The following is a 19,281-nucleotide window of genomic DNA, read 5'->3' on the forward strand; positions in this document are numbered from 1 at the left end:
AACAGAACTGTAAGGATGAGCTTCCTAAATTGGTTTTGGGACTTCTGGAATTGGCTCTCTAGTGTGATTATATTTAAAAATGCTAAGGACTCTGTTTCCAATAGTACAGAGAGCACTGGTTGTCCATGGCATGAACTGTTATACAGATATCAAAATATCTGCATTAGATACTCCTAATCAACCACTTATAAGAGGCAGGAAATCAATGACTCTGTATATAATACTTTTGAATGTTTATGAAAAACTGAGTGTATTAGTCTGTGTTGTGTTACTATAAAGGAATACCGGAGGCTGGGTAATTTATAAAGAAAAAGGATTTATTTGGCTTGCAGTTCTGGAGAGCTAGAAAGTTCAACTTTGAGCATCTGCATCTAAGGGCTTCAGGTTGCTTCCACTCAAGGCAGAAGGTGAAGAGGAGCCAGCATCTGTACCTCATATGACAAAAGAGAAAGGGGGGCAGTGCTGGGCTTTTTTTTAACCACAGCTATTTCTTGGGAACGAATAGAGTGAGAACTCACTTACCCTTTTCCACCCACAGGGAGGACATTAATCTATTCATGGGGGATCCACCCCAAGGACCCAAACACCTCCCATTGGGATCCACTTCCAACATTGGGGGTCAAACTTCAACATGAGGTTCGGAGGAGACAAATATTTACCATAGTGCTAAGGAATATAATGATATTTATTGGTTGTTCCTAATGTTACTGCACAAAGTAATGAAAGAAAAGAATGAGTTAAGGGATTCAAATTCCCAGCTCAAGCAATGCATACATGACCTCAGAGCTTCTAGATGTACCCTGTGGAAATTTTCTCTACTGGAGCCATAGGGCTAAAATTGCTAAAAATCAAACACAAGTCCTCATCATGCGATTGGCTGAATTAAATGAAAGTTGAATCCCTAGCCTCATAGGGCATCTACTGTTAAAGTGAGGGCATTGATTGGGAAAGAATGGGATCCTGTAAGTTGACTTGAAGACATGTGGGGAGACATGATGAAGCTGGGGACATTGAGCACTTAAATTTTGGTGAGTCTTTTTTGTGAGCAGAAGTTGCCTTCCCACCCCCAGAAGCAGTGGCATTCTTACCCACAGTGGTAGTGGCCTTTCTACACTTAACCCTGCATTGTCTAAGGAAATAATAATGGCCCCCTGAGGCATTTGCCGAGAAAGACAATGCTGATTCTCCCCATACCCACTTCTATCACCTTTTTGCTTTTAGGCTTATAACTAGACTCAAATCCCAGCAGGCTCCTAAAGGTGAGGTACAAAGTCTGACCAATGAGGAGGTATGCTACACTCCAAAAGGACTATTTGAATTTTCTAGTTCGCACAAGCAGAAATCCAGGGAACATGTGTGGGAATGAATATTAAGTGTATGGGATAATGGTGGAAGGAACATAAAGTTTGATAAGGCCAAATTTATTAATATGGGCCCACTAAATAGTAATTCTGAATTTAATGTTGCAGCTTAGAGAGTTAGAAAGCATACAAACTGGTTGGTTGATTGGCTGAAATATTAATCAAAAGGTGGCTCACCATGAGCAAGTTGAAGATGCCTGATCTCCCTTGGCTTAATGTGGAGGAGGGAATTCAAAGTCTTAGGGAGATTGGAATGCTAGAGTGGATTGGTCACCTAAGACCTACTTACCCACACTGGGAGGGTCTGGAAAACATACCTTACCAATACACTGAGAAATAGACTTGTGAGGGGAGTGCCAGCATCCTTGAAGAGCTCTGTGATTGTTCTTCTCTGCAGGCCAGTCTTTACAATGGGAGTCACAGCCACTCAATTAGAAAACCTAAATGCAATGGAAGTCATTGGATCCCAGATGGCAAGGGCCAAATGCTGACACTCAACTGTGAAAAGCAAGATGGGTGTGGTACTGTTACGTACAGTAGCATCAAAGTAGCAATCAGGATAACCTGATTTATGCAACCTATGAAAGTGGTTGTTTGATCATGATGTTCCTAGAAGTGATATAGATAAGAAGCCTACTAAATTTTTACTTGATCTGTATGAGGAGAAAAATTATAGGTCAAATGAACAAACAAACATTTAACCTGAATCATAAAAACATCATCATAACCCCTCAATCAGTTCCCAGTCTTGAGCAGATTTACAGACCCGGAACTCCTTGAATGAGGGAAAGCCAGGTCCCATTAAGGAAGGACCCTAGTACAATACCAAAAATTTATAATTTTAATCTTTCTTTCACCCTTCCCCAAAGAGACCTATGGTCTTTTATCAAGGTAACTGTGCATTGGTAAAAAGGAAATAATCAGACCTTTCAGGAACTACTGGCCAGTGTTCCAGTAGTCCCTGAAAGGTCTGATTATTTCCTTTTTCCATGAGACCAAAAGCATCACTGTGGCTCTCCAGTCAGAGTAGGGTCTTATGGAGGTCAGGTGATCAGTGGAGTTTTAGCTCAGGTCCAACTCACAGTGGATCCACTGGGTCCCCATCCATCCTATGTTATTTCCCTGTTGTGGAATGCATAATTGGAATAGACGTACTTAGCGACTGGCAGAATCTTCTCATTGGTTTTCTATCCTGTGGAGGGAGGGCTACTATGATGGGAGAGGCCAAATGGAAGCCATTAGAGCTGTCTCTACCTAGGAAAATAGAAAATCAAAGGCAATACTGCATTCCCAGAGGGATTGCAGAAATTGGTGTTATCATCAAGAACTTGAAGGAGGCAGGGTTGGTGATTTTCATTACATCAACATTCAATTCTCTTATTCTGTGCAGAAGACAGAGAATGACAGTGGATTATTGGAAGCTTAACCAAGTGGTGACTCCAATTGCAGCTGCTATACTAGATGTGGTTTCATTCCTTAAGCAAATTAACATAGCTCCTGGTAACTGGGAGGCAGCTTTTCATCATGAGCAATTCTAGGCCTCCAGACAAATATTTAAGAATGTGTCAAAATTATTTCAGTCCTATGGCGTAGTGTGGAGCAAAAACTATCAATGATAAACTTCATGCCAAACCTCTGCAGTATATATCTTACATGAATGCATAAGACTGAGCCCTGTCAATCGAAATCTAAATCTAAAAGTGCATTCCTTCCAGCACTGCTCACAATAGCAAAGACTTGGAACCAACCCAAATGCCCATCAATGATAGACTGGATAAAGAAAATGTGGCACATATACACCATGGAATACTATGCAGCCATAAAAAAGGATGACTTCATGTCCTTTGCAGGGACATGGATGAAGCTGGAAACCATCATTCTCAGCAAACTAACGCAAGAACAGAAAACCAAACACTGCATTTCTCACTCATAAGTGGGAGTTGAACAATGAGAACACATGGACACAGGGAGGGAACATCACACACCAGGGCTGGTTGGGGAGTGCAGGGCTAGAGGAGGGATAGCATTAGGAGAAATATCTAATGTAAATGCCGGGTTCCTGGGTGCAGCAAACCACCATGGCACGTGTATACCTATGTAACAAACCTGCACATTCTGCATATGTATCCCAGAACTTAAACTATAATTAAAAAACTTTTAAAATAAATAAATAAAAGTGCATTCCACTATGCCTCTTAGTAAAACTCATTGAAGAACATAAAAAGCAGATGTTGAGACATAGTTTTTGAAATGTGGCTCAATTATTTAAAATCTAGTATACTTTGACATACTGCTATATAAATGATAATAGCTAAGATCGATGTAAGATAATATGTGCAAGGCTTTTGGCTTAAGTACTTTTTAGGTACTAACTCATTTACTCTTTATAACAACAGTATGAGGTAGGTACTCTTATTTTACTGATTTTATAGATAAAGAAACTCAGGCATAGAGATGTCAAGTGACATACTCAAAGTCACAGAGCAGGCAAGTGGCATAGCTTTGGTTTATACCCAGGTGGCTTAGCTCTGGAATCTGTACCCCCATATTAGTTTGCTAAGGCTCCCATAATAAAGTACCACAAACTGGGTGGCTTAAATAGCAGACATTTATTTCTCACAGTTCTGAAGGGTAGATGTTCAAGATCAACGTGTTAGCCAGGCATGGTAACGCCTGTAGTCCCAGCTACTCAGAAGGTTGAGGCGGGAGTGTTGCTTGAGCTGAGGAGGTTTTGTGTTTTTGTTGTTGTGTGTGTGTGTGTTTTTTTTTTTTTTTTTTTTGAGATGGAGTCTCACTTCTTTGTCCAGGCTGGAGTGCAATGGCATGATCTCAGCTCACTGCAACCTCTGCTTCCTGGGTTCAAGCAATTCTCCTGCCTCAGCCTCCCAAGTAACTGGGATTACAGGCACGTGCCAGCACACCTGGCTAATTTCTGTATATTTAGTAGAGACGGGGTTTCACCATAATGGCCAGGCTGGTCTCGAACTCCTGACCTCAAGTGATCTGCCCACGTTGGCCTCCCAAACTGCTGGGATTACAGGCGTGAGCCACCATGCCTGGCCAAGCCCAGGAATTTGAGGTTGTAGTGAGCTTTGATGTGGCCTGGCCTACAGAGTGAGACCATCTCTAAAAACTAGCAAACAAAAACAAGATCAAAGTGTTGACAGGGTTGGTTTCATTCAGCTTGTCTCCTCAGCTTGCAGAAGGCTGTGTCTTCATTTTGTCCTAACATGGTTTTTCCTCTGTGCACACACATGTGTCCTAAGCTCCTCTTCCTATAAGGACACTAGTCACATTGGATTGGAGCTCACCCCAATGACCGAATGTCACCTTAGTTATCACTTAAAGACCTCACTTTAAATACCATAGCATTCTGAGTGGTATAATACATAAAGTTTGGAGAGGCATAATTCAGGTCATAAAAGTCCCTAACCTAACCTCAAGTGATCCACGCGCCTCAGCCTTCCAAAGTGCTGGGATTACAGGCATGAGCCACCATCCTGGCCAACATGGTAAAACTCCATCTCTACTAAAAATACAAAGATTAGCCAGGTGTGGTGGCTCACACCGGTAATCCCAGGTAGTTCAGGAGGCTGAGAGGCAGGAGAATCGCATGAATCCAGGAGGCATAGATTGCAGTGAACTGCGATCGCACCACCTCACTCCAGCCTGGGCAACAGAGCAAGACGCCATCTCAAAAAAAAAAAAGTCCCTAACCATTAAAATAGTGAATATTTTACCTATTATGTTTGTAATTATACATGTATGCACACACACCACACATTTGTGTTGAAGATAGTTGAAAATTGCTTAAAAAGTGGAAAGATTTTCTCCCTGGCATATGTTATTTTATATATATATAAATATGTAATTTTTATATAAATATATAAAATATATTATATATATATATAAATATGTAATTTTTATATAAATATATAAAATATATTTTATATATATAATATATATTATATATATTTTATATATAATATATATTATATATATATTATATATATAATATATATTATATATATATATGTAAAATAGAATCTCTTCATGGCACTTGGTTGGATCTAGCTATTGTGCCATAGGGTGTTAAATTAGATTTTGTTATGCCTAAATTTATTCAAGTCAAAATAGTCTGTACCATAACGATCATCAATAACTCCCAAGGATTCAATGCAAAACACCCGTCTGTAAACAAAAAAAAAGACTTGATTTTTGACATTTTGGAAAACTTCCCCCTTTGTTTAGATAGACTGCTGTGGTCATATCCTTGAGTCAAGTTGAATGAAACTGCTACAAATTAGGATCCAGATGCAAATGTGGGCTTTATAGCCAGCTGACACAATGTACGACCTTGAAAATAAAACCAAGAACACCATGCAGGAAGGTTTAAAGCAAGTGGAAGAGTAAAGATAAAGGAATTTGGCTGGGAGCATAAAGTAGGAATCTGAATAAAGGATTTTGGTCTGCACTTAAACTGTGTGCAAGCCTCATTTCATTTAAATGAGGTAAAAAGGCAAATAGATATGGCTATAAAGTGGGAAGCCTGAGCCGATGTTGCAGTGTTTAGCCTAAAATATTCTAGCTAGACACCCTAAGCATATTGCTTATATTTTATAAAATGAATTTGGTACAAATTCTTAAATATCTAAATTAAATATCTCAAAGTAAAATTTTGGGGATTATTTAGACAATCCTCTGGCTAATTTCAAGTGCTTTTATGTTGTTGATAAGAACAAAAAGCTTCCTTTTCTCTATGTCCCAAATTAAGACTGAAATTCATAAGCCCCCAAAAGCAATTTGTTGTCATTTTTCATAAGACTTACATAATATTAAAATATGCACCTATCTTCAGTAGCTATTATCCAAAAAGTATATAAATAAAGACAAAGTTAGAGGCAAAAGTTACTATCAAGCTGTAGTAATCCAGACAGTGTGGTAAAAATAAGGATCCACAGATGAATGGAATAGAATAAAGAACGTAGATATACACTTGCACTTACATAGACATTTGCTTTTTAACAAAGCCAATGAGGAAAGAAAAGTCCCTTGGAATACTAAATATCCATATTTTAACAAAACCCCTTGACTCACACCTCATACTATACAGAAAAATCAATTTTGGATCATAGACCTAAACATAAAAGCTAAAACCATAAAACCTTTAAAGGGAAATAGAATATTTTTATGACTTGGGGATAAGCAAAGGTACCATCAGGTACAGAAAGTAAAATCATTTAAGAAAAAATTGATAAATTATATTTCTTCAAAATTAAAAGTTTCTGCTAATTAAAATGAACATTAAGAAATAAGCTAAGACTGGAAGAAATATTCACAAAGAAATATTCACAAATAAAGCTAAGACTGGAAGAAATATTCACACCTGACAAAGGACGGGTATGCAGAATACATAGAGTACTCCTACAACTCAGCAATAGAAAGTCAAATAACCTAATTAAAACTGGGCAAAGTATTTGAATAGACAATTTATAAAAAAAGAAGTACAAATTGCCAATAAAATCATTAAAGAGTATACGATGTCAACTGTCACTATGGAAATACATATTAAAACCAGGAGACAAGACACTACCACCAGAATGACTATAATTTAGAAAGATAAACATTACCAAATGCTAGTGATGTTATAGAAAAACTGGACCTCTCATACATTTTTTGTAAGGATTGTATAATGCCACAACTAAATGCTAAATGCTAAAACTAAAGATATCCCTACACTATGGCCCAGCATTTTCACTAATAAGCATCTACTAAAGGGAAATAAAAGCATATATTCACAAAAAGACATATCCAAGAATATTCATAGCAGCTTTGTTCAGAAAAGCCTCAAAAAGGAAATAGCTCACATGTTCAGTTAGAGATTGGATAAACAAACTATGGCATATATAGTGAAATACTCCTCTATAATACAAATAAATGAATTATACATTGCATTCAACATGAAGGCTTAGTGAAAGAAGATTTAAACAAAAGGGTACATACTTTGTGACTCCACTTATAAGAAAGCCTAGAACAAACAAAACCAATCTGCAGTGGAAAAAAAAATAACATTGGTTGCCTCTGGAGAGTTGTTGGGGTAGGAATTTACTGTGAAGGTTATGAGAACTTTCTTACAGGAAGGTCACGTTCTATATCGTGATATGGGTTTGACTGTGTACAGATGTATGTATTTGTCAAAACTCAGTGAATATACACTTAAGAGTTGTACATTGTAGTATATGTACATTTCACATAAACACACACAAATATTGAACTCTAAAGTGCTTACATAAATAAAAGAGATTTAATGGATGGGGGATGGATTGATGGATGGATATGATAAAGCAAGTATACTAAACTGTTAATAGTAGGACCTTGTGGAAGATATACAGGTACTCATTTAAAATTCTTTCAATTTTGCTTTATGTTTGAAAATTTTTATAATGTTCAAAGAAAAATATCAAAAACAACAACAGAAATTAGTTTGTTCATGTTTCAGATAAAATGACATTTTACTGACAGAGACTGCCAGAATATTATTTTGGTTTGACATTACTAAGTAGTTTGTCTACTTATGCCAGAGTTGGAATGATTAATTAAAATACCCTTAACATACATAATAATGTGGTTTGAAACATTTATGAAACAATAATCTCAAAACTGAGGAATATGCTAATATTCACACTGAAAACTGAGGAATATGCTAATACTCACAACTTGACATGTAATTTGAATGTCTATATGTTTTAAAAATCTAGAATTTTGAGAAATTTGGATTTTTAATCCATATTAATCTGTATGAAGTTAACTCCCAACTATAACAAATTTAGCATATCAATAATTAACTTCTCAACATACATACAGTACAATAAATACTATAAATATATAACAGTCTTGAATAACTAAGCAATAGGTAACATTTTCAACACTAAGTAAACTTGAATAATAAAATGTTTTAGGGGCTGCATAGAGCTATGTATATGGATAAACAGATGCCTTTTATTCTAACACAAATTTGCTCTGAGGGATAGGCTTATTTTTATTGACAAGTTATCAATTTTCTCAGGATTTTAATAAAATCTTCATTTTTACAATATTTTTTCATTTTATTTACTTTTTATTTAAAACAAAATAGATTCCTAAGCAAATTAACACAAGATTTTTTTCCACTTTAGAGTACCTACTTTAAATTGTTTAATTTTAATTTTATTTAAATGTGTTCATTGGATCACATTTTACTAGAAACTAATTTGTTAAGGCCCAGATAACATGTGATAATACTGCAAAACTAATTTATTTTTCTTCATCCTCCCTTCTTACCCATTGATTTTTTTTTTCTTTTAAAATTAAGAAAGAATCAGAGTACTTTATCTGTCCTCTTCTTGTTCAAAACCCAAATGCTGCTGCGGATCATTTTGAAGGAAGGAAGCTTATAATAGCACCTTAAAGTAGAAAGTGGAAATTTGGTGACATCTTGTGGCCAAGGCTTTTCTCAGAGTGTTTCATGTCTATGTCTTAGAATTGGCTTTGTAGTAATGCAATTCCAACTGGTAAACTTACGCTTCTGAGGGTACTTGGAGACTTTCTGGAAAATTTGGCTGATCTAAAGAGTGTTAAGGCAATCAGTTTTCTGATCCTCAATGTCCTTTGCATTTTCCCCAACGAACTTGGTTTACGTGCTATACCATGTTTCCAGCCTTATTTCTTTTTTCTTTTCTCTTTTTTCTTTTCTTTTCTCTTCTCTTCTCTTCTCTCTTTCTTTTTTCTTTCTTTCTTTCTTTCCTTTCTTTTTTTTTCACAATTGCTGTTCTTCCATTTTACAAAATAAACACCTACTTCTCATCCCTTCTGAGTCTCACTATAGTGCATTGCCCTGTGGTATTAAAAACCTCTGGATGCTAGTCAAAGAGAATTTTCAATTATTAGTGTTTGTAAAGAGAAAGGAAATCACTATAATGATTGTTCAACAAAAGTTTTGTTAAGTCAAGTGGTTGCTAAACTATCTTTTAAATTATTTGATTCTAACAAAATTAAAGAAAAACTATGCTTTGGGAGGTCAAGGTGGGAGGATATCTCGAGCCCAGGAGTTCAGGACGAGCCTAGGTAACATAGCAAGATCCCATCTCTTAAAAAAAAAAAAAAAAAAAAAAAAGGAAAAAAAAGAAAAAAGAAAAAAATTAGCAAGGCCCGGAACACCTGACTGTAGTCCCAGGTACCTGGAGAGCTGAGGTGAGAGGATGACTTGAGCCTAGAGGCCAAGGCTGCAATGAGCTGTGATTATACCACTCTACTCCAGGATGAGCAACAGAAGCTGTGTCTCAAAACAAACAAACAAACAAATTGAAATAAGTTTTCATCTGATGCTCTGCTTACTAAAAGTAAATCTTGACAATAAATTACTATCTGATTATTTTCCTTTTGATCTAAAATTTGCATACATTAAAATGGACAAGTAAATTAGGAATGCATTTAAATTTGGATGATATTGTAATTTTGTCTCTACTTATAACCATAATTTGGGTATAAATCATGCTTACACCCAAAACCAACAACAACAAAAAATTGGAATGGAATTGATAACAAACCCTGACTTAGTCAAGCAGTAAGAATATTAATTCATCTCAGTAAATTATGGATTTCCAGTAAAATATGTGAACTAGTTAGGTTGTTTTGATCAATTATATGACAGTAACAATTGTAATAATTCAATCTGGAAGACATTTTTTACCACAAAATATTGTGGGGAAGTTTCTAAAACTTATGATCACATTGTTGTTGCTTAGAAATATTGTACAATGATCAATAAGTCTTTTAAAAGCACAAAATGGTGAGGTCACTTCCAAGATGGCCAAATAGGAACAGCTCCAGTCTGTAGCTCCCGGTGAGATCAACACAGAAGATGGGTGATTTCTGCATTTCCAACTGAGGTACCTGGTTCATCTCATTGGGACTGGTTGGACAGTGGGTGCAGCCCACGGAAGGTGAGCCGAAGCAGAGCGGGGCATCGTCTCACCTGGGAAGCGCAGAGGGTCAGGGAATTTTCCTTTCCTAGCCAAGGGAAGCCATGACAGACTGTACCTGGAGGAAAGGTACACTCTTGCCCAAATACTGCACTTTTCCCAGTCTTAGCAACCAGCAGGCCAGGAGATTTCCTCCCATGCCTGGTTCGGCAGGTCCCACGCCCAAAGAGCCTTGCTTACTGATAGCACAGCAGTCTGAGATTGGCCAGCAAGGCTGCAGGCTGGAGTGGGGAGGGGCATCTGCCATTGCTGAGGCTTGAGTAGGTAAACAAAGTGGCCGGGAAGCTCAAACTGGGCAGAGCCCACCACAGCTTAGCAAGGCCTACTGCCTCTCTAGACTCCACCTCTGTGGGCAGGGCATAGCTGAACAAAAGGCAGCAGACAACTTCTGCAAACTTAAATGTCCCTGTCTGATAGCTCTGAAGAGAGCAGTGGTTCTCCCAGCATGGCGTTCGAGCTCTGAGAATGGACAGACTGCCTCCTCAAGTGGGTTCCTGACCCCAGTGTAGCCGGACTGGGAGACACCTCCCAGTAGGGGCCGACAGACACCTCATACAGGCAGGTGCCCCTCTGGAACGAAGCTTCCAGAGGAAGGATCAGGCAGCAATATTTGCTGTTCTGCAATATTTGCTGTTCTGCTGCCTCCACTGGTAATACCCAGGCAAACAGCGTCTGGAGTGGACCTCCAGCAAATTTCAACAGAACTGCAGCTGAGGAGCCTGTTAGAAGGAAAACTAAAAAACAAAGGAATAGCATCAACATCAACAAAAAGGACAACCACATCAAAACCCCATATGTAGGTCACCAACATCAAAGATCAAAGGTAGATAAAACCACAAAGATGGGGGAAACCAGAGCAGAAAAGCTGAAAATTCCAAAAACCAGAGCACCTCTTCTCCTCCAAAGGATTGCAGCTCCTTGCCAGCAATGGAACAAAACTGGATGGAGAATGAGTTTCACAATTTGACAGAAGTAGGCTTCAGAAGGTTGGTAATAACAAAGTTCTCCGAGCTAAAGGAGCATGTTCTGACCCATCACAAGGAAGCTAAAAACCTTGAAAAAAAAGGTTAGACAAATGGCTAACTAGAATAACCAGTGTAGAGAAGACCTTAAATGACCTGACAGAGCTGAAAACCACAGCACAAGAACTTCGTGATGCATGCACAAGCTTCAATAGCCAATTTGATCAAGTGGAACAAAAGATATCAGTGATTGAAGATCAAATTAATGAAATAAAGCAAGAAGACAAGATTAGAGAAAAAAGAGTGAAAAGAAACAAACGAAGCCTCCAAGAAATATGGGACTATGTGAAAAGATCAAATCTACGTTTGATTGGTGTATCTGAAAGTGATGGGGAGAATGGAACCAAGTTAGAAAACGCTCTTCAGGATATTATCCAGGAGAACTTCCCCAACCTAGCAAAGCAGGCCAACATTCAAATTCAGGGAATACAGCGAACACCACAAAGATACTCCTTGAGAAGAGCAACCCCAAGACACATAGTTGTCAGATGCACCAAGGTTGAAATGAAGGAAAAAATGTTAAGGGCAGCCAGAGAGAAAGGTCAGGTTACCTACAAAGGGAAGCCCATCAGACTAATAGCGGATCTCTCAGCAGAAACCCATCAAGCGAGAAGAGAGTGGGAGCCAATATTCAACATTCTTAAAGGAAAGACTTTTCAACCCAGAATTTCATATCCAGCCAAACTAAGCTTCATAAGTGAAGGAGAAATAAAATACTTTACAGACAAGCAAATGCTGAGAGATTTCTGTCACCACCAAGCCTGCCTTACAAGAGCTCCTGAAGGAAGCACTAAACATGGAAAGAAACAACTGGTACCAGCCACTGCAAAAACATGCCAAATTGTAAAGACCATCGATGCTAGGAAGAAAGTGCATCAACTAACGAGCAAAATAACCAGCTAACATCATAATGACAGGATCAAATTCACACATAACAATATGAATCTTAAAGTAAATGGGCTAAATACCCCAATTAAAAGACACAGACTGGCAAATTGGATAAAGAGTCAAGACCCATCAGTGTGCTGTGTTCAGGAGACCCCTCTCACATGCAGAGACACACATAGGCTCAAAATAAAAGGATGGAGGAAGATCTACCAGGCAAATGGAAAGCAAAAAAAAAAGCAGGGGTTGCAATCCTAGTCTCTGATCAAACAGACTTTAAGCCAACAAAGATCAAAAGAGACAAAGAAGGCCATTACATAATGGTAAAGGGATCAATTCAACAACAAAAGCTAACTATCCTAAATATATATGCACCCAATACAGGAGCACCCAGATTCATAAAGCAAGTCCTTAGAGACCTACAAAAAGACTTAGACTCCCACACAATAATAATGGGAGACTTTAACACCCCACTGTCAGACAGATCAATGAGACAGAAGGTTAACAAGGATATTCAGCACTTGAACTCAGCTCTGTACCAAGCAGACCTAATAGACATCTATAGAACTCTCCACCCCAAATCCACAGAATATACATTCTTCTCAGCACCACATCGCACTTATTCTAAAATTGACCACATAATTGGAAGTAAAACACTCCTCAGCAAATGTAAAAGAACAGAAATCACAACAAACTGTCTCTCAGACCACAGTGCAATCAAATTAGAATTTAAGATTAAGAAACTCACACAAAACCGTTCAACTACATGGAAACTGAACAACCTGCTCCCGAATGACTACCAGGTAAATAATGAAATGAAGGCAGAAATAAAGATGTTCTTTGAAACCAATGAGAACAAGGACACAACGTACCAGAATCTCTGGGACACATTTAAAGCAGTGTGTAGAGGGAAATTTATAGCACTAAATTCCCACAAGAGAAAGCAGGAAAGATCTAAAATTGACACCTTAACATCACAATTAAAAGAACTAGAGAAGCAAGAGCAAACAAATTCAAAAGCTAGCAGAAGGCAGGAAATAACTAAAATCAGAGCACAACTGAAGAAGATAGAGACACAAAAAACCCTTCAAAAAAAATCAATGAATGCAGGAGCTGACTTTTTGAAAAGATCAACAAAATAGAAGACTGCTAGCAAGACTAATAAAGAAGAAAAGAGAGAAGAATCAAATAGACACAATAAAAAATGATAAGGGGGATATCACCACTGATCCCACAGAAATACAAACTACCATCAGAGAATACTATAAACACCTCTACACAAATAAACGAGAAAATCTAGAAGAAATGGATAAATTCCTGGACACATACACCCTGCAAACACTAAACCAGGATGAATTTGAATCTCTGAATAGACCAATAACAGGTTCTAAAATTGAGGCAATAATTAATAGCTTACCAACCAAAAAAAGTCCAGGACCAGATGGATTCACAGCTGAATTCTACCAGAGGTACAAGGAGGAGCTGGTACCATTCCTTCTGAAACTATTCCAATCTATAGAAAAAGAGGGAATCTTCCCTAACTCATTTTATGAGGCCACCATCATCCTGATACCAAAGCCTGGAAGAGACACAACAAAAAAAAGAGAATTTTAGACCAATATCCCTGATGAACATGGATGCAAAAATCATCAATAAAATACTGGCAAAACGAATCCAGCAGCACATCAAAAAGCTTATCCACCACGATCAAGTCAGTTTCATTCCTGGGATGCAAGGCTGGCTCAACATATGCAAATCAATAAACGTAATCCGTCACATAAACAGAACTAACAACAAAAAGCACATGGTTATCTCAATAGATGCAGAAAAGGCCTTTGAAAAAATTCAACAGCCCTTCATGCTAAAAACTCTCAATAAACTAGGTATTGATGGAACCTATCTCAAAATAATAAGAGCTATTTATGACAAACCCATAGCCAATATCATACCGAATGGGCAAAAACTGGAAGCATTCCCTTTGAAACTGGCACAAGACAAGGATGCCCTCTCTCACCACACCTAGTCAACATAGTGTTGGAAGTTCTGGCCAGGGCAATCAGGGAACAGAAAGAAATAAAGGGTGTTCAATTAGGAAAAGAGGAAGTCAAACTCTTCCTATTTGAAGATGACATGATTGTATATCTAGAAAACCCTGTCGTCTCATCCCAAAAATCCTTAACCTGATAAGCAACTTCAACAAAGTCTCAGGATACAAAATCAATGTGCAAAAATCATAAGCATTCCTATACACCAATAACAGAGAGCCAAATCATGAGTGAACTCCCATTCACAATTGCTACAAAGAGAATAAAATACCTAGGAATCCAACTTACAAGGGATGTGAAGGACCTCTTCAAGGAAAACTACAAACCACTGCTCAACGAAGTAAGAGAGGACACAAACAAATGGAAGAATATTCCATGCTTATGGATAGGAAGAATCAATATCATGAAAATGGCCATACTGCCCAAAGTAATTTATAGATTCAATGCCATCCCCATCAAGCTACCAATGACTTTCTTCACAGAATTGGAAAAAACTACTTTAAAGTTCATATGGAACCAAAAAAGAGTCTGCATTGCCAAGACAATCCTAAGCAAAAAGAACAAAGCTGGAGGCATCATGCTACCTGACTTCAAACTATACTACAAGGCTACAGTAACAAAAACAGCATGGGACTGATACCAAAACAGAGATATTGACCAATGGAACAGAACAGAGGCCTCAGAAATAACACCACACATCTACAACCATCTGATCTTTGACAAACCTGACAAAAACAAGAAATGGGGAAAGGATTCCCTATTTAATAAATGGTGCTGAGAAAACTGGCTATATGTAGAAAGCTGAAACTGGATCTCTTCCTTACACCTTATACAAAAATTAACTCAAGATGGATTAAAGACTTAAATGTAAGACCTAAAACCATAAAAACCCTAGAAGAAAACCTAGGCAATACCATTCAGGACATAGGCATGGGTAAAGACTTCATGATTAAAACACCAAAAGCAATGGCAACAAAAGCCAAAACTGACAAATGGGATGTAATTAAACTAAAAAGCTTCTGCACAGCAAAAGAAACTACCATCAGAGTGAACAGGCAACCTACAGAATGGGAGAAAATTTTTGCCATCTACCCATCTGACAAAGGGCTAATATCCAAAATCTACAAAGAACTTAAAGAAATTTACAAGAAAAAAACAAACAACACCATCAAAAAGTGGGCAATGGATATGAACAGCCACTTCTCAAAAAAAGACATTTATGCCGGCCTCAGACACATGAGAAAATGCTCATCGTCACTGGTCATCAGTGAAATGCAAATCAAAACCACAATGAGATACCATCTCACACCAGTTAGAATGGCAATCATTAAAAAGTCAGGAAACAACAGGTGCTGGAGAGGATGTGGAGAAATAGGAATGCTTTTACACTGTTGGTGGGAGTGTAAATTAGTTCAACCATTGTGGAAGACAGTGTGGCGATTCTTCAAGCATCTAGAACTAGAAATACCATTTGACCCAGCAATCCCATTACTGGGTATATACCCAAAGGATTATAAATCCTGCTACTATAAAGACACATGCACGTGTATGTTTATTGCAGTACTATTCACAATAGCAAAGACTTGGAACCAACCCAAATGTCCATAAATGATAGACTGGATTAAGAAAATGTGGCACATATACACCATGGAATACTATGCAGCCATAAAAAATGATGAGTTCATGTCCTTTGTAGGGACATGGATGAAGCTGGAAACCATCATTGTCAGCAAACTGTCACAAGGACAGAAAACCAAACACCGCATGTTCTCACTCATAGGTGGGAGTTGAACAATGAGAACACATGGACACAGGGAGGGGAGCATCACACACTGGGGCCTTTTGGGGGTGGGTGGAGGGCTGCGGGAGGGATAGCATTAGGAGAAATAACTAATGTAAATGATGAGTTGATGGGTGCAGCAAACCAACATGGCACATGTATACCTATGTAACAAACCTGCACGTTGTGCACATGTACCCTAGAACTTACAGTATAATAATTAAAAAAGAGCACAAAATGTGTCACACTGGGATAATATTATATGAGGCACTTGGAATAAAAGCACGTATTGAAGGAGTACAAATAAAATTTCTAATCGTGAAAAAGGAACTTATATGTAAATATGTAAATAGATACTGATGAGTAGAAAATTCAACATTAGTTATATTTTATCTATTATTTTTATTTATTTATTGTATATACTGAAGATGTGCAACATGATGCTTTTATACATACATACATATATATATATATATATATATATATATATATATATATATATATACACATAACATTAATACAGTCAAGCAAACTACCTGGGAATTGTGTATATTTGGAATCTGGTAAATAAAAAGATGTTTAGTGCAATAGAGGAATCTAAGAAGCACCAGGCTAAATCTTTCTGTGAAGTTCCTTTTGTTCCTGAATCACGCTTCTCATGTTCTCTTTTGACTGACAGATCCACCACAAGAGACATCTATGACTGGGATGAAAGGAATCATCTTTGCCAGGAGGGGCTGGCTCTGGGAGGACTCGAGGGAAAGCCTTGGGGCAGACGCCAGCCGTCAGAGTTCACAGCTGTGGTGATGGCTGCAGCAAGGGGAATTTTACTCATGACTCAGGAGGAGTCAAGGGACAGTACTGGACGCAGACACAAGGAGGGACACTGAATTCGCAATTTTTTTTTCTCCCTGTTGTTATCTAAATCCTGGTTTCTCTTTTCCAAATTGATGTTCTTTGGATTGGCCTCTCAGTTCTTCTTCATTAATAGTATACCAATGATGGATGATGGCTATGAAGCTCTAGAATGCCACTCTGTCTGTTGCAAATCTAAAAGAAAGTTATTTTACTCACCAAATATAACCATTACTTTGCTGGAAGAGGGTATTCTGGAGGAACTGTGAAAAATTAAATGTGAATGAGGAAAGCTTTTATAGCTAGACAAGGTGGTGGAAGTGGAGAGGGAAAGGTTTGTAGAATGTAAATGTTTAGTGGTCTACAGTAAGGTTGGCAAAGACTTGATTCCAAAACTCCTCCTCCCTCCTTCACCTTCAACCCATAAAGGACACCAGTAATCAATGTTCTCATTCTTTTCCACTGAACTCAAAGGAGGTCACACATTCTTGAATACATTTTTCCAGGCATCATTCCGAATCAACTGGTATTAGATAAAGAGGTAAAATCCAATCGTCATCTTGAGACAAGAAGTCTTCTCACGATCAAAGGTTTTTCTTGATCCAAGGATTCGGGGTCTCACGGGCTTCAAGGAATGAAGTTGTGACCGCAGTGGCGAGTGTTACAGCTCCATTAGAGAAACGCGCGGACCCAAAGAGTGTGAGGGGGCAAGATTTATTAAAGCAAAAGTGAAAGTAAAGCTTCCACGCGGTGGAAGGAGACCTGGAAGGTTTGCCGTTTCTGGCTTGGGTGTTTTAGGCTTCTATCCGCTTATGACCCCTCCCCTCTTCCTTTTTCTGTCCTGTAGAATTAGCTTATTTTCTATCCCCTTGTGGGTTGGCGTGCCTGATTGGTTAAAAACATCAGCCTGCAGCTAGAGCTTAAACTCCCTATATGATTGGTTGAAGTTTCAATCCCTCAGTTTGCAGCTGTGACTCATTTAGGCTTAGGGGAGAGTCCCCTTAGGGAAGTACCTGTTGACCCAGGAAGTCCCGGCAACTTAGCCACTTAGTCCCTCAATCTGAGGTCTAGATGTCTTCTGTGTTTCATGGAAAATAATGTTCTTGTTATGTTCTTCAAAAAGACATGTCCTTTGAAGCCACAATGTTGGCTTTTGTTAATATGATACTGATACAGGAGGTAGAAAGAAACCAGGCAGATAGTGAGTGTAAAAGAGTCCTCTAAAGAGCTTCCCTTTTAACAAAAAGCAGACCTAGAAATTATTTTTGTTTCTAACAAAGAGCAGCCTGAAAACTCGAGCTGCAAACATGGAGAAGCAAACTGGAAGCTTGCATGGGTGAATGCTGGCAGCTGTGTCAATAAAAAAGGGCTACTTGGGGGTTAGGCATATCCATTATGGAGGCTCCATCTTCCTTTTTTTTTGTTGTTAACATGTGCACAGTAAAGGAATAGGCAACATGGCTCAGGCCAAGCACAGGACCAGCTTGCATAATAAAAGATTAGGGTGAGGGTGGTCAGAAATGCGTGCTTTGCACACTTGGTCCTAACCAGTTTTTCAGGCCCTATGCAAATGGCACACCTGGTTCAACCAATCTTTTGCACCCTATGTAAATCAGACATTGCCACCTCACCAGGTATCTATAAAACCCCCTGCATTTCACCACGGATCCAGCAACCCATTTCTCTGGGACCCCTCTCTCCAGCAGAGAGCTAGTCTCTTTTTTTTTTTTTACCTGTTAAACTTCCGCTTTTAACCTCACTCCTTGTGTGTCTGTGTCCTTGATTTCCTAGACTATGAGACAGTGAACCTCAGGTATCACCCCAGATAATGAGGCTGTTGCAATAAATTACTCAATAACATTTATTTTGTATTCTGATTATAAATTTTATTGTGTTCCATGAGTATGGGATGTAGCCTTCAATAGTTTGTAATGTAGATATATTTATATAGTGCCTCTGGTATTGGAGATGATTAGTAGTGCAGCAAATGCTCCACAGTAATTATAGTGATTCTATTTGAAATTTGGTTTTGTGGGCCAGGGGCAGTGGCTCATGCCTGTAACCCCAGCACTTTGGGAGGCCTTAGCGGGTGGATCACCTGAGGTCAGGAGTTCGAGACCAGCCTGCCAACATGGTGAAACCCCATCTCTACTAAAAATACCAAAATTAGCTGGGTGTGGTGGTGGCTGCTTGTAATCCCAGCTACTCGGTAGGCTGAGGCAGGAGAATCGCTTGAACCCAGGAGGCAGAGCTTGCAGTGAGCTGAAATTGCACCATTGCACTCCAGCTTGGGTGACAAGAACAAGAAAAAAA

General features: G+C 38.4%; 2 annotated features.

The window, feature by feature from the left end:
- Positions 17,902-17,951: an enhancer, noted in NCBI's record as "active region_20118". NCBI's record gives its function as "activates an Ori minimal core promoter by ATAC-STARR-seq in GM12878 lymphoblastoid cells {active_cell/tissue: GM12878}" and the evidence as "EXISTENCE:reporter gene assay evidence [ECO:0000049][PMID:35858748]".
- Positions 17,982-18,121: an enhancer, noted in NCBI's record as "active region_20119". NCBI's record gives its function as "activates an Ori minimal core promoter by ATAC-STARR-seq in GM12878 lymphoblastoid cells {active_cell/tissue: GM12878}" and the evidence as "EXISTENCE:reporter gene assay evidence [ECO:0000049][PMID:35858748]".

Source organism: Homo sapiens, chromosome 3 (genome assembly GCF_000001405.40).
Source record: "Homo sapiens chromosome 3, GRCh38.p14 Primary Assembly".
NCBI classification, from domain to species: Eukaryota; Metazoa; Chordata; class Mammalia; order Primates; family Hominidae; genus Homo; species Homo sapiens.